General features: G+C 39.9%; 1 protein-coding gene across 11 annotated transcripts in view, besides 2 other annotated features; it reads right to left on the bottom strand.

Annotated features, from left to right (window-relative positions):
• Positions 1-16,854, bottom strand: part of MYO3B (myosin IIIB) — a 477,021-nt gene that overhangs the window by 215,195 nt on the left and 244,972 nt on the right. The window lies entirely within an intron of this gene.
• Positions 3,065-3,710: an enhancer, noted in NCBI's record as "OCT4-NANOG-H3K27ac hESC enhancer chr2:171292773-171293418 (GRCh37/hg19 assembly coordinates)". NCBI's record gives its function as "activates a minimal SCP1, AML or CMV promoter by ChIP-STARR-seq in naive and primed H9 embryonic stem cells {active_cell/tissue: H9 hESC(naive and primed)}" and the evidence as "EXISTENCE:reporter gene assay evidence [ECO:0000049][PMID:30033119]".
• Positions 3,711-4,356: an enhancer, noted in NCBI's record as "OCT4-NANOG-H3K27ac hESC enhancer chr2:171292127-171292772 (GRCh37/hg19 assembly coordinates)". NCBI's record gives its function as "activates a minimal SCP1, AML or CMV promoter by ChIP-STARR-seq in naive and primed H9 embryonic stem cells {active_cell/tissue: H9 hESC(naive and primed)}" and the evidence as "EXISTENCE:reporter gene assay evidence [ECO:0000049][PMID:30033119]".

The following is a 16,854-nucleotide window of genomic DNA, read 5'->3' as shown; positions in this document are numbered from 1 at the left end:
CATGGTGGCTCACGCCTGTAATCCCAGCACTTTGGGAAGCTGAGGCAGGCGGATCACAAGGTCAGGAGATCGAGACCATCCTGGCTAACATGGTGAAACCCCATCTCTACTAAAAACACAAAAAATTAGCCGGGCGTGGTGGTGGGCACCTGTGGTCTCAGCTACTCGGGAGGCTGAGGCAGGAGAATGGTGTGAACCTGGGAGGTGGAGCTTGCAGTGAACAGGGATAGCACCACTGCATTCCAGCCTGGGCGACAGAGCGAGACTCTGTCTCAAAAAAAGAACTGAAACTATAAAACTGCTAGAAGAAAACATAGGAGAAAAGCTTCATAACATTAGTCTTGGCAACAATTTTTTTGGATATGAAACCAAAACATGGGCTATAAAAGCAAATATAGACAATGGGACTACATAAAACTAGAACTTCTACTCAACCAAGGAAACAATCAACGAATTGTAGAGATAAGCTATGGAATAGGAGAAACTTTTTTCAAACTATATAGCTAATAAAGGATTAATGTGTAAAATATATAAGGAACTCCTACAACTCAATAGTAAAAAAGCCAAATAACAAAAAATTATTATTATTATTATTATTTTTGAGATGGAGTCTTTCTTTGTCACCCAGGCTGGAGTGCAGTGGCACAATCTTGGCTCACTGCAAGCTCTACTTCCTGGGTTCACGCCATTCTCCTGCCTCAGCCTCCTGAGTAGCTGGGACTACAGGCGCCCACCAGCATGCCCGTCTAATTTTTTGTATTTTTAGTAGAGACGGGTTTTCACCGTGTTAGCCAGGCTGGACTCAATCTCCTGACCTCATGATCCGCCTGCCTCAGCCTCCCAAAGTGCTGGGATTACAGGTGTGAGCCATCATGCCTGGCCCAAAAAAAAAAAAAACAATTTAAATATGGACTTGACTACACATATCGCCAAAGAAGGCATACAAATGGCTAACCGGTATATGAAGAGATACTCAGTATCACTAAACATTAGGGAAATGAAAATCAAAACTATAATGAGATGAAATATTACCTCATCCTTGGCCGGGCACGGTGGCTCACACCTGTAATCCCAGCACTTTGGGAGGCCAAAGCTGGTGGATCACAAATCAGGAGTTTGAGACCAGCCTGGCCAATATGGTGAAACCCTGTCTCTACTAAAAATACAAAAGTTAGCCAGACATGGTGGCAGGCGCCTGTGGTCCCAGCTACTCAGGAGGCTGAGGCAGGAGAAGCATTTGAACTTGGGAGGGGGAGGCTGCAGTGAGCCAAAATCATGCCACTGCACTCCAGCTTCGGCTACAGAGCAAGACTCCGTCTCAAAAAAAAAAGAAATATTACCTCATCCCAATTAAGATGGTCATCATCAAAGAAACAGAAACAAGTGCTAAAGAGGATGTAGAGAAATTAGAACTCTCTGCACTATTGGGGGGAATATAAAATGGTGCAGCTGCTATGGAAAATGTAGTATAAAGTTTCCTCAAAAAATTAAAAATAGATCTACCATATGATACAGCAATCCCTCTTCTGAGTATTTACCTAAAAGAATTGAAAACAAGATCTCCAAGAGATATTTGCACTCCTGTGTTCATTGCACCATTATTCACAAGGGCCAAGAAGTATAAACAAACTAAATGCCTATCAACAGTTAAATGGATAAAGAACATTTGATATATACATACAATTGAATACCCAGCCTTAAAAAAAAACAAGGAAATCCTGCCATACACTACAACATGGATGAACCTGGAGGACGTTAGGCTAAGTGAAATAAGCCAGTCACAGCAACACAGCACTGCACAATTCCACTTACATGAGATATCAAAAGTAGTCAAACTCACAAAAGCAGAGAGTAGAATGGTAGCTGTCAGTGGCTGGGGACACGAGGAAGTGGGAGTGGCTATTCAGTGGGTATTGAGTTTTAGTCACATAATATGAAAAAATTCTAGAGATCTGCTGTGCAAAACTGTGCACATATTTGATACTGTATTGTATACTTAAAAAGAGAGATTTCATGTTATATATATTTTTTACTGCAACAACAAGAAAAAGTCTCCAACTGGGACACTGCTAATCATTGAAAAAGATGAATATGGAAGAAAAAAGGTGCTGAAGGAAGTTTTCCCGAGAAAGAAGTTAGACGATAGAGCGCGCCATTGTGAGGGTTGAGGACACAGACACTGATTAGTAGACTGGGCAGTAAGGATCCTTCAGGGGAGGAAAAATATCTTTTTCTCTACCCATCCTAGGTTCATGGTTGAGGCACTTATAACAAAGGACAGATTACTAAGTGAAAAGCATAAAAATTTACTTAATGTAAGTTTTAGTTGACACTAGAGCCTTTATAAGGAAACAAAAAGGAGAGTAGTAAAGAAATATGATAGGAAAAAGTATCATCTAATGGTAAGAAACTAATGAAACTTAGCAAGGCCTATTTGTTCAGATTCTTCTCTGTGTCCTTGTGTCCGCAGAGATAAAGACGCTTCTTTTCTGTGGGTATAGGAAGAGCAGCTCCTACATGAGAGTCTTACAGCCTGCTTTAGGAGAAGGTCAGAAAAAACCTTCCTAGATTTTATGACCTGCTTCAAGGGAGAAGGGGGTGGGGGCTAAGAGTGACATTCCTGCATCTGTCATTTTCTCAAATTCCTTCAGCTTAAAATATTCAATAGGTCAAGGGGCCATATTTTGGGACAGTGAGCCCTAAACCCCATCAATCTCTCTGCACGTAAGGAGAAACCTGGCCACCCCCAGTGAATCAGTGGGGTAGGGAGTGGGAGACAGCAGCTTCTGAGTCCTGGGGGCCAATGAAGTTTTGCAGGGCTTTGCATTTGTCAGGAGTGTGACTTTGAACAAGTTGACTTCTCAAAGCCTCAGTTTCCTAGTCCATAATAAGAAAACAGTACCACCTGTTTTCCTCCCATAAGAGTTATTATGGGGATTCAACAAGACAACTTACAAAAAGCACTGCCAACACAGGACTAGAGCAGGGCAACTATTCATTTCACATTAGGTAGTATTTTATTATTATTTGCTGTGAACTGTTCACAAAGGTCTCAAAGGAGAGAGCAAGAAAAGACCAGGAAATCGCACCAAATCTCTGTGTGATCACTGGCTAGTCAAAAAAACTATGAAAGGTGAGAAAAAATGATAGGGCAACTCTTGGCTACTCAGATTCCTCCCACTTTTTACCTTTGAAGAGTCTGAATGGCCTGTTCACTACCCCACACACCCTTCACCACTTCTCTGATTGTTCTTCCCCCAAACCAAGTGTGTGAAGAGATTTGTTTGCATTTTTACCTACAGTGTCATTTGATTCTGTAGCAAAATAAAAAGTTGTTAATGAAAGGAAGTGCTGCAATTTGTGCATATGCAAGATGCTCAAGATTTCAAAGTTTCAGCAAGTCTAGCACAAAGATGTCCAAATGTTTTCTCTGGCGATATCTTCAGAGGCTAAACTGTGATTAATAGCCCAGAAAGAACCCTTTGAAGCAGGATTGGTGACATCAAAGTCGTAATCCAGGGGTGGCAGGAGCTTTATAATGAGTGGGAAGCATTTTAACACATTTCAAAGGATTTACAGCATGAATAAACAATAGACCTCAGCAGATGCGCACACACACCTTTCAGAAACATAACCAAAGTTTCCATTTTAATTTAAATGTAAATAGTGTTCACACTTCTTTCAAATGTTAAGCATCCTCAGTGCTTCACCCCCTAGACAGCCTCCTCCCAGCTAAGCATTGCTCATTGCCCCAGAACACCCTTCTGTGCTTCTCAAAACTGCAACTACCAACATGTGTCCTGTGTTGGAAGGAGAAAACGGAAGTCAGAGGCATCTAATGGAATTTATATCCTATGTGGGAACTGTGTTAAGAGAGAATCTGAATTGGAGATTACAAAGATCTCACACAATTTCCCTGCTTCCAACTTAAAAGAAAAGACACAAGTGGTCTGAAGACAGAGCTGGAACTTTTAAAAGACGGCAATTTTCCGCCTGCTTCAGAGGATTTTCCTTGCTTGGAAAGTACCCAGAACCCAGGGTGTCACCTGTAGTCATCTTTTACTAACTGCCCCAAAGGACAGGTTGTTGTATTAAATAATCAAACATAGAATTCAGTCTCCCTCTGCTGCACCCTCTGGGTTTATAGGACTTGTAGCTGGGTTCCAGTGGTGATTGTTGGTGGGCATTTGTTTGAGAAATTTTCCGATTTTAATTTTCTCTCCAAACACAAGAAATAGGCTAATAAACTAAGAAATGATTGCAAAGCAATGCTGAAATGTAAAAAGCTGTTTGTGTCAAATAGCTACAAAGATAAGGAGCAGTAAATAAAAATCAGATGCTTCAGTTCATCTGTTACAAGATTAAGTTATATCGCAGTAGACCTGAGAACTGAAACCACGTAGCCCACATTCAGCTTAGACACTGAGAACGGAAACCACATCTTACTGTCTACAATACGATGACTTTGTGTAATTCCTGTCTCCATTAGTAGGACTTTCTTTTTTCAGGAGTCTCCAAGCCCAGGCAAATGGTTAGATTGCTCATTACAGAAACTTCCTGAAAGACTCATCAGCTCTTCCATGGAAAGGATCAACCTGACAGTTCATTACCTATGATTCCTATCATCTCTCCTTTCAAAGTCCTCCCCTTGCTGTTTCCACCAGCCCTGGACTGCTGCACTATGATCCTTACCCAGTCCTAATCAAAGGCCCTCACTTTGAAAGACCCTCCTAAAAATAAACGATTTCTCAACAAACTCTGACCTTGACTTCCCTTCTCCAAGACATTGCCAAAGCTTTGAGAGGTGGTGGGAAGCAATAACCTCCACTTTATCTTATCAGTGAGTTGGGCTGGTAATGTTTGGGAGCAAGCTTGAGACAGACCTACGCTAGTGCAATACTTGCAGTAATTAACATGTTCCAATTTCAGTTTATAACACTGTAGCTAACAAAAATGCAAGGAGTTAAATTCAGTACATAGTTGTATACAAACATACTATAAAAAATACTATAGTAGCTAAGTACAGTGGCTCTCACCTGTAATCCCAGAATCTGGGGAGTCCAAGTGGAAGGATCACCTAAGCCCAGGAATTTGAGACCAGCTTGGGCAACATAGTGAGACCCCATTTCTACAAAAAGTTTTAAAAATTAACTGGGCGTGGTGCCACGCCTGTGGTCCCAGCTACTTAGGAGGCTGAAGTGGTAGGATCTGTTTGTTAGATATGAGTTCTAAATTTCTTTTCAAAGAATATGTCAGTATGTTCAATTCTTTGCCTTCTAAACTTAACTTCCTCGTAAAGCAACCTTTTTCAATTACCTACTCCACCCTGACTCATTCTGATCACCTGCTCCACCCTAACTCATTCCAATTACCTGCTACCTTCTCTGCCCTGACTCCCACTAAAGCACTCACCCGTCATTCTCTTTACATTAGCCAATCAGAATTAGCTTAGCCTGTGTGGTCTAACCCTAGCCAATAGGGGAATGACACAGCAGCAGGGGCCACGTGCGTCAGGAATAAGAACCCCTTCCCCTCCCTTGTCCAAGTGTGCGCTCACCATTGTTCCATCTGTAAGGGTGAACCCTTCTATACAGAAGTACCTTGCCTTGCTGAGAATCAAAAAGAAAATTTTATATTCGAGTGCTATTCCTTTTGCAGCACCAAAACTTTATATATAACAAGTTGAGCCCGGGAGGTTGAGGCTGCAGTGAGCCATGATCACACCACTGTACTCTAGCCTGGGCAACAGAGCAAGACCCATTCTCAAAAAAACACAAACCTATAGTATTTTGTATACTAAAAAATCTTAGTTCATCTTCACATAACCATCTCTCCTAAATTTATAAGAAGGATTTATTTTAGATTCGATAAATTGAAGTAACTTAAGATAGCCACAAAATATGACACAGCTGTAGGAAGCCAAGAAAAGGAGATCATGTGTAATGTTAAATTTTGTTCTGCAGTTTTTACTTTCTCCCTTAGCATTTATCTACAGCTTTCACGTTAATATCAATAAATGGGCAGAGCAGGATGGAAGAGTTCCCAGCCCACTTGGACATGACCTAATGTCTTATGAAAAGAACATGGATAATTTATATACAGTCACGTGCTGTGCTGCTTAACGACAGGGATATATTGTAAGAAAAGAGTCATAAGGAATTTTGTCATTATGTGAACAGCATAGAGCGTACTTACAAAAACCTAGATGGTATAGCCTCTGCACATTGTGAAAGTTACAGATACAGGATGAAATCACTTTTGTCAGACCCAGACAAGATAGGGCTGGGAAGGCCCGAAAAAGAAGAGGCTCATGCTTACATGTCTGAGATAAGAACTGTTTCCAAGGACTTTCTAAAAACCCCACAAAAAACCCTTTTGCATCCTTCATGCATCTCCCACTTTGATAAGGTTTATTACTAGGCATTCTATAGGACTGAAGTAATTCAGTTAAGATATTCTCAGAAGAACACTTGCCCAGTAACAGTATCTCCACCAGTGAACTGACAACTCTGGCTTTGAACTTCTGGAACCAATGAACTCTATTTCTAAGCAGCTTATATAAATCTCTTTTTGCTAATAAAACCTCCCCTTACCCTTCCCTCACTGAATGCACTGGTGGCTTGCCATTTTATACCATTCCAGATTATAATCCTTATTTTTATTCCTAAGTAAACCCAGCATATTTATGGATAATTTTCTCTTTTTTTTGTTTTGTTTTGGTTGACACACCTGGGCTATGCTATTTCTTCTAGGCTAAAAACCCGTATAGCATGTTGCTGTATGGAATACTATAGGCAATTATAACACAATGGAAAGTATTTGTGTATCTAAACATAGAAAAGGTACAGTAAAAATATGGTATAAAATGTAAAAAAACAGTACACCTATATAGGGCACATAACATGAATGAGACTTGCAGGGACTAGAAGTTGCTCTGGGTGAGTCAGTGAGTGAGTGAGTGATGTGTGAATGTGAAGGCCTAGGACATTACATTCACTGTACATTAGTACATTAGTGTACATTACTGTACACTAATGTAGACTTTATAAATACTGCACACTTAGGCTACACTAAATTTATACAAAAGATTTCTTTTTTGGCCGGGCATGGTGGCTCACGCCTGTAATCCCAGCACTTTAGGAGGCCGAGGCAGGTGGATCACAAGGTCAGGAGATCGAGACCATCCTGGCTAACACGGTGAAACCCTGTCTCTACTAAAAATACAAAAATTAGCCGGGCATGGTGGCAGGCGCCTGTAGTCCCAACTACTTGGGAGGCTGACGCAGGAGAATGGTGCGAACCCGGGAGGCGGAGCTTGCAGTGAGCCGAGATCGTGCCACTGCACTCCAGCCTGGGCAACAGAGCAAGACTCCGTCTCAAAAAAAAAAAAAAATTTCTTTTTTTTTAAATAATAAATTAACCACTTACCATAACTTTTTTTACCTCACAAACTTTTAAAATATTAAAATTTTTTGACTCTTTTGAAATAACACTTAGCTTAAAACACACATTGTAAGATGTACAAAAATATTTTCTTTATATCTTAATTCTATAAGCCTTTTTAAATTTTTAAGATTTTTTTGTTTACTTTTTAATTTTTTAATTAAAAACAAAGACACTAACACCCATACTAGCTGAAGCCTACACAGTTTCAGGATAATCAATATCACTGTCTTCTACCTCCACACATCTTATCCCACTGTAAGGTCTATGGGGCAATAACACACAGGGAGTTGCCATCTCCTATAATCACAATGGTTTCTTCTAGAATACCTCCTAAAGAACCTGCCTGAGGCAGTTTTATAGTTAACTTAAAAAAAAATAAGTAGGAGTACATGCTAAAATAATAACTTAAAAGCCTACTATAGCACATACGTAAACCAGTAATATAGTTGTTTATTATCATTATTCAGTGCTATGTACTGCACATAACTGTATCTGTTATATTTTATACAACTGGCAAAGCAGTAGGCTTATTATATCAGCATCACCACAAACACCTGAGTAATGCATTGCAAAGGCTAGGACATCACTAGGCAATAGGAATTTTTCAGCTGCATTGTAATCTTATGGGACCACAGTTGTATATGTGGTCTGTCATTGACTGAAATGTCATTATGTGATGCATAACTGTATATAGAAGGGATTGTAGTTTTGTGGAGGGAAGGAATCAAGAGTAAGTAAGAGACCAGACTATCCTCCCATCGGTTTTATTGAAGAAAGGTATGCACAGATAACAAATTCACTCTCTTTTCTGAATCTACAACTTTATCTTGCATGTGGCAAATTCAAAGCCCCAAAGAAATCCCTTCCCTATTACTGTATTGACTTTTAATTGGTAATTGTCTGGCATTTTAAGGAATTTCTGCATAATTAACACCTTTACACTATTTGCTTAAAGAAAGCCAAACCAATGTTTTCACTGACTTTTTTCTTTAGAATATAAACTACAGCTTTAAAGATTTGTGACCCAGAGATCTCAAATTGTAGAGCTAGGGAAAAAATAGTTAACTCCTTCCTTTCTCCTTAAGCTTTAAAACTCATAAACAGGATGTCAGTCCAGCAAACAACTATACTGAATCCCAGACTGTTTCAAGGAGCTAACAAGGCTTCTCTTTCCTAACACAGTCAATAGTGGAGTTGCTCTGTTTTCTGCATTTTATTGCCACGTCGGCAGTAGGTCAGTCTCTTTTAACGAGGAGAATTTCCTTTTAGAGCCAGATGAAGAAAGCTCTTCCCATTATTTTCTTGGTGGAGTTTGCTTGAAAATAATATGGCTGTCACATGGCCTGATGTGTGTTCACAAAAGTACAAGAGCCTATACTACTGACATCTACCCAATATCTACCCAAGAAGACCTGACCCATTTAAAAATACAATAAAATAAAAGCCACATACACATGTCTGTCAGCACCCATGTCATGAGGTGTGAGAATGGCTTATTCCAATCTCAGAGCAATCAGGGATGGTCCTGGGCAAAATCATAATTTAGGCAAAGGATGTATTCAAATTCCCCACATCCCTTTTCACCTCTCTATTTCCACTTCTGAAGGTGCAACATGGCTTTAATGCTGTCTCCTCCCTATCCCAATATCTAATTCCCCCTACTTCATTGTCCCACCCTTGAACTTTTCCATGCAGTACACACCTCCTCCATATTCTCATCAAATCTCCTTTTGTTTTTGTTCCAAACCTTCAGGTTACTATTCTTCTGATACTTAATCCAGGTGTAATTTGTTAATGGACAAAGAAATTTATTAATTCACTCAGGTGAGATGTTTATATGGTATAAGAAGCTATCTAGGCCAGGCGCGGTGGCTCATGCTTGTAATCCCAGCACTTTGGGAGGCCGAGGCAGGCAGATCATGAGGTTAAGAGTTCAAGACCAGCCTGGATAACACAGTAAAACCCCATCTGTACTAAAAATACAAAAATAAGCTGGGCATGGTGGCACGCACCTGTAATACCAGTCACTCAGGAGGCTGAGGTAGGAGAATCCCTCGAACCCAGGAGGCGGAGATTGCAGTAAGCTGAGATCATGCCACTGCACTCCAGCCTGGGTGACAGAGCTAGACTCCGTCTCAAAAAAAAAAAAAAAGCTATCCAGAAAAAAAAATTTTTATGGAATGATTCTATTGATGGGAATGTTGAAAACCTGTAGATGATCTAGTGTCCAGGTAAGGGGGACAGTTTTGAAATAGGGGACCTTTTGTTTAATGATGCTCATGTTATTCATACTTTGAAATAATACAGTAAAGGCCTTCTATGGGTCTTATAAAGATGAATAGAATGCAATTAGTATATATGAGGGATTCATTCTAGTACCCCCTAGTATACCAAAACCTACGCACTCAGCCCTGAAGAACCCACATATATGAAAAGTTGGCCCTCCATATATGCAGTTTTGCATCCAACCAATATTGTATTTTTTATCTGCATTTGTTTGAAAAAAAAAAAAAAAACCTGTGTATAAGTGGACCTGCACAGTTCAAACCAACATTGTTCAAGAGCCAACTATACAGTTCTTTGTTTTAAGGAGAAGACAGCCCAGAGAAGCTCTTGGGGGGAAGGGGAAAGGCTGACATATAAACAATTCATTGCGATTGAAACTGGTGAGTGTTAGAATAAATCTCTGAATAAAGTGACACAAGGGGACAGAATACTAAGTTTTCATGAGAGGATGAGGAAAACAAAAACTGAAGAGTAGTCAATGAATGAGCTAGATTGTGAAAGCTTAACATGAGTTTGACAGGAAATGGAAGGTATTCTATCTGAAAGACATGCGCAAGACAGATACAGAATGTAAACCTGAGGGTTCCAGAGAGTTCCAGAGAGCTTGTAAGACAAATTTCTAGGAGGCTTCTTATTTTAAAATTAGACATTTAATAATAGCATTAAAACATTTATTATTTTACCCTTGCAAACATAAAAACAAGTTACTCACCACTCCCTTCCAGTGAAAATACCACCTGTGGGGACAGTTTTAGGGGGAAGAAAATATGGGGAAGAAGGCTTTGCTAAGGTATCATAAGTCACTGGTGGGACTGGGAACAAAAGCTTGTTCTGCTCTTCAGGTGGCCTTCAGGTAGAATGCCCATTCATCTGTGTGGCCAAAGGTGGATGGTTTGGATACGAGCTACTAGGAGACTCATTCCAGTTAAAATAGTGCTGATATGGCCAAAGTCTTAAGTAAAATCTCATATGGGTCAGGTAGTTTCATACAGAGAAGTTACATTCCACAGTCTAAGAATAGAATCCTAAATAAAATGCTCAGGCAGGAGCAAATCAACTGATCACTGCAAATTAAAAAATCCCTCCCTAGAAGATTTGCACAACATACCTTATCTATTGGTGGTAGGTCAGTCATATAATTTCCCGCAACACCTATGCTTCCTTGTGTTTTTAAGCCTGAGAAAGTTACACAGGGCTTCAGCAAACAAGACGCTGTTAGCTTCCCATTGTGCAGGATTATGATTCAGTGCTTGGAACTATAACTGCTTTTTTGAGTTTCCCTCTTTAGCATGGAAGCAATGAAAAGGACACTGGAAAGTGAGAAACTTGGATTCCTATCCCACACCTGCCACTGACTTAAGGAGATCATGTCTACTCTTTATGACTCATTTGTATTATATGTCAAATGAGGAGTTTGAGAAGATCAGTGGTTCTGCACTTGTGTGTCATGGCATTCCGTCATGGTGTCCATAATGAACACCCTTTGTGGCTATGTAGCTTCACCTAGATCAATGCCAGGCATGTGGTGTAGATGGGGGTGGACTGTTCTCTGAAATGGAACTACAACGAACAGTGTGTAATGTCAACCTGGTGCCAAAATAAAATATTGTGTGATATCTGTGGCCAGGACATGTGTGAGCTTTACCTAAGCTATAAATCAGAGAGCTAATCAAGGAAGTAAACAGTATTGTTCAAAAATCAACAACACGCTGAACAACAAGGAAACACGTAAGTGCAATAACTAGATGCAAGTTGGAGTAAAAAAAGTTAAGTATTGTTAGGCTTCCATCCAGCTCTGAAATTTTATCTATAGTTGTGAAATATCTCCTAAAAGACCCCTGAAGTGGGGGAAATAAGAAAGAACAAAATAAAGACAATAAAACTAAAATCTGCAAAATGTATTATTTCTTAGCAGTTCAGTAGGCAACAGAAGAAGTGGGTGGTGATGATAGCCTCGCTTAGATAAATGGAGGAAGCTTAGATAGTGGTTTTACAGAGGCCTGGATATTTAATTTGCCAATGTTCTCTTCACAGCTAACACAGGCAACCAGCAATGGCTCTGTTGCTATGATCTCTTCAGTTATTCCTCCTCCTTTACTTTGCTATTGTGGCTAAGGTAAGCTTATTCAGTTCTCTAATTTTTTAATATCATTCTTGTTTCTTAGCACGTGAGAGGAGACAGAGGCATAGTTTTTTGCTCCCTTTCTGCAATGTTTTTAAGATTAATGAATTCAAGGTGTTCATTTTTCAACATCTTTATAACATCTATTCTCCTAGTAAAACATTATGCTTCTGTTTGCATATTGGCAAGTACCAGCCATTTTGAAAAACTGGGTGCTAATGTGAAGGCAATAATCACTTATACGAGCTTTTTTTTCCTATTGGGTCTCTGAAAGTACTCAAGGGTAGCTTTTGATATATAGGTATCCAAGTCTAATTTTCACATTTACCAGTTATTTTTGTTATATTTTAAAGAATGACTATTCCATGTCACTAGCTCTTTTATAAAAGAACCTAGTATAAACATCCATGTATATGTATATATCCTTGGGAAAAACTATAGCAACTTAAGAATCCAGAAAATAAGGAGAGGCATACTGAAATAGGTAGTATTCCACAGGAAACCAAACTTGCATGTGCCCAATTGGCCAGCATTACTCATATCTAAACTACATTGTTATAATGTTTCTGAACACCCATGCACACACATTTCTTATAGATATATGTATAACCCGTTCATAAAACGCCAGTGCCCAGAAACACTTCTTCCATTGAAATTTATATGTTTCATGGTGTTAAAGAATGAAGTTAATGTAACTTACATTCTTAAGCACAGGCATTGATTTTTGGAGACCTTGGCTTTATGGAACTGTAATGCTGTATTATCCAAACTAACTGATTTCAAAAAGACTTTCTAAATTAAAGTATTATCTGACAGACTTGCGATGCAATTACTGATTTTTTTTTGAAAGAGTGAAACCTATTGAGAATAAAGGCCAACAAAGATTATTTATCTGATGAAGGAACTCTACAAGCATCACAACTCTACACTAATTCTAGAGGTTGCAGGTAGTCAGTACAATTGTGTCTGAGTCCTTTAAACTCAATGCAAATATGCTATCTTATATTAGTATTAATCTTTAGAAATGATTTGGCTCCTTATAGATGTTACAACCTCTTTGAAGCCAGGTACTAAGTATCTATTTCTTTTCTTTTTTTTTTTGAGACTGAGTCTCGCACTATCACCCAGGCTAGAGTGCAATGGCGCAATCTCGGCTGACTGCATCCTCCGCCTCCCAGTTCAAGCAATTCTCCTGCTTCAGTCTCCCAAGTAGCTGGGATTACAGGCGCATGCCACCACGCCTGGCTAATTTTTTGTATTTTTAGTAGAGACGGGGTTTCACTATATTGGCCAGGCTGGTCTCGAACTCCTGACCTCATGATCCGCCTGCCTTGGCTTCCCAAAGTGCTGGGATTACAGGTGTGAGCTGCCACGCCTGGCCCTAAGTATCTATTTCTACTCCCATTCATTAATTCAAAAAATATTTCTTCAGCTACTGCGTAAGACTTGCCAAGTGCCCTTTGCTTATCCTTCACATAGACAATAAAGAAAAGAAAAAGTTACAATGAACTAGAAGAACATTTTAGAATGTTTCTACCCTTGCCACCTAGAGACAGATTATATTTACATCCTGGCTAACATGGTGAAACCCCGCCTCTACTAAAAATACAAAAAAATCATCCGGGCATGGTGGTGGGTGCCTGTAGTCCCAGCTACTCAGGAGGCTGAGGTAGTAGAATGGCGTGAACCCAGGAGGCAGAGCTTGCAGTGAGCTGAGATCGCGCCACTGCACTCGAGCCTGGGTGACAGAGAGAGACTCCATCTCAAAAAAAAAAAAAAAGCGATGAGGTCTTGCTCTGTCACCCAGGCTAGAGTGCAGTGGCACAATCGTGGCTCACTGCAGTCTCGAACTCCTGGGCTCAAGCAATCCTCTCGCCTCAGCCTCCTGAGTAGCTGTGATTACAGGCATGAGCCCCAGCACCCCCTGTTTATCTTCTTAAGGTAAACACAGAAATCTCAAACTCTCAACAAAAGACAGAGCAAAAGGAAAAAGAGAATAAACAAATGTTATCTACTGCTTTATTGTAAAAAAAAAAAAATCAGAGATTAAGAAAATAAATGTGGAAATCTACTTACTTTTGTCTCATATTTATCACTCTGCTCCAGATCAAAAAATATTTAACAATACTTAAATACTAACATTTTTTGAGGGTTTACAATGTTGTACATACCATGCTAAATGTTTTAAAATGAATTACTTAATACAACAACCCTGTGAGCCATGTCACCAGTCCACAAAGACATAAAACTGAGGCCGAGTATTCAAGACTCTTGCTCAAGGTCATAGCACTAAGTAGTAACGCTCAGAGAACCTATCAAGATGCTCCAATTACACTGTAATCATTTCAGGGATTTTGATCTTATGCAAGGAAGACTACTGAGTAGCTGATGGGATTGCTGCCTGGCCAAACTAATTGGGCCCAGTTGATTTTAGAGGATGTCTGGATTTTTTTTGGCTGTTTACACACCAAACTAGGTCAACTGAACAGTGATTCCCATTGATTACCTGGCAATCACTATTGTTATGGAGAAGCCAAAAAACCTAATCATCTGGACAACAGTTGATTTGATTTTTGTATAACTTGAAGTCCCTTGCGAAATGCAAAGATGGAACCACTCTACTAAATTCAAACTTTAATAAAATCTTAGCAGTCTTCCCTTACAACCTCCAGCTCTCAAGTTCAGTTAAGCAACATTTAATTTAGTTTACTGATGACTCACATGTGCAAGCCAGTAAAGTTCACAATTGTTACTCCACACAGCTGTGGTTTACAGCTTCTCTTTGCACACAACACGTTGGCACCAAAGCAAAATGATTAACTTTATATGCTTCTAACATATGGACCAGACTGTTAGAAGGCAGTCTTGTGTTCTAAAAAGAAAAATACAGTTTCTATTAACATGACCTAAATTCCTGGGGAAAAATGTTAAGTTTTATTCCATCTTTAAGTAGAGAGATGATAATTAGAATGGCTTTGTTTCTAATGTATTTCATTTAAAGTGCCAGGAGGTATCTGTTACTAAGGGAGGGAAATGACCTGAAAGCCTCATTATAAAAAGATTTTAGAGTGGGATGACTTAATAAAGTATAAATGGCTTTGAGACCTTTTCTCCAATATGAGCTATTGAAATATGAAATAAATATGGAAAAAGTAAAGAATCTTTCATCTCAAATGGGAACATTTTTCTTTTCTATGAATGAGAAGGATGCTGGCAGAGAGAAGCAGAATTTCTTTTTCTTGTATTCTGACCATTCGAAAAATCAAAGCTGCTATGTTTTCTATACTTAGCAGGATCATTAAAGAAATAAAACCAAATGGCTCTAAATTGAACTTCCACTTAAAATATACATTCACTGTCTTATTCAGGACCTATAAGAGAACTATTAAAATGTGTTAGGGGAAGATGGTGAATCTGATTCACAATAGACACTAATTTTCCCAAGGTTAGAGTCATTATCATAACTCATTATTAAAGTTTGTTTTAGTTTTTCTTTTTCTCTTTTTTTTTGAGGCGGAGTCTTCCTCTTTTGCCCAGGCTGGAGTGCAATCTTGGTTCACTGCAACCTCCACCTCCCTGGTTCAAGCGATTCTCCTGCCTCAGCCTCCCGAGTAGCCAGGACCACAGGCACGCACCAACATGCCCAGCTAATTTTTATATTCTTGGTAGAGACGGGGTTTCACCATGTTGGCCAAGCTGGTCTCAAACTCTTGACCTTGTGATCCATGCACCTCGGCCTCCCAAAGTGCTGGGATTATAGGCGTGAGCCACCGTGCCTGGCCTAGTTTTTCTTTTTCAAAGACACAGTAGCAACAGGGCCTTAGAGCCAGGAAGGCAAGAGGAACTTTTGGAAATGGATTTAAGATCCACACTGGAAGGATGTCCTGGAAAAGGAACTCAGGAAGATCATCTGATCAGCATTACCTTAGCAGGTCCCACATGATTCTTGACCCTCAAGGTGCTTCTCACAAAAAGGATCTCACTGATTTTGGATGTCTGGTACACGGGAGCCATCTCTTGGTATTTCTGCAGTAAAGATACCTATTGGATATTCATAAACAATGTTCCTTCCCCACGCTTTTTGGTCATGGAAATCTTATTCAGCTCACACCTCTTAACACCACACAAATTTGGTGTTTCAAGAAAAACACTTTGGAAAACATTGCTCAGTACTGATAATATGGAACACTTCTATCTCTCCAAAAAGAACAAAGGAAACTGCTAAAAAGCTTTTGCTATGGGCTGGGCACGGTGGCTCATGCCTATGATCCCAGTAATTTGGGAGGCCAAGGCAGGCGGATCACGAAGTAAAGAGACCAAGACCATCCTCGCCAACATGGTGAAACCCCGTCTTTACTAAAAATACAAAAATTAGCTGGGTGTGGTGGTGCACGCCTGTAGTCCCAGCTACTCAGGAGGCTGAGGCAGGAGAATCACTTGAACCCAGGAGGCGGAGGTTGCAGTGAGCTGAGATCGCACCACTGCACTCTGGCCTGGTGAGAGTGAATTCTGTCTCAAAAAAAAAAAAAAAAAGCTTTTGCTGAAACTCTGCAAATCCGGGAACAATAATGTCTCTTACACACTGGGAGATAATCTGAAGTCAAGTCTGTACACAAGAAAATAAATATTTTATGAAGAAGCCAATCTGCAGAATTATTCTGTGCTACCCCACCTCACTTTATTTTCTTTGGGAGGATCAACAAGAAGGGCTCCTTGGCATTTCTGCATTTCTCTTTGAGAGCAGGAATGAGGCACTTCTGTGGCCGATGCAGCGATCCTCTGCAGTCATGCTACTCGATATGGTGGCTACTGCACATATGAAATGTGGCTGGATTAGGCTGGGCACGGTGGCTCACACCTGTAATCCCAGCACTTTAGGAGGCCAAGGTGGGTGGATCACCTGAGGTCTGGAGTTCAAGACCAGACTGGCCAACATGGTGAAACCCCATCTCTACTAAAAATACAAAAAATTAGCTGGGTGTGGTGGTGGGCACCTGTAA

The sequence above is a fragment of the Homo sapiens genome, chromosome 2, assembly GCF_000001405.40.
Source record: "Homo sapiens chromosome 2, GRCh38.p14 Primary Assembly".
NCBI classification, from domain to species: domain Eukaryota; kingdom Metazoa; phylum Chordata; class Mammalia; order Primates; family Hominidae; genus Homo; species Homo sapiens.
This window is presented reverse-complemented; position numbering and strand designations above follow the sequence as displayed.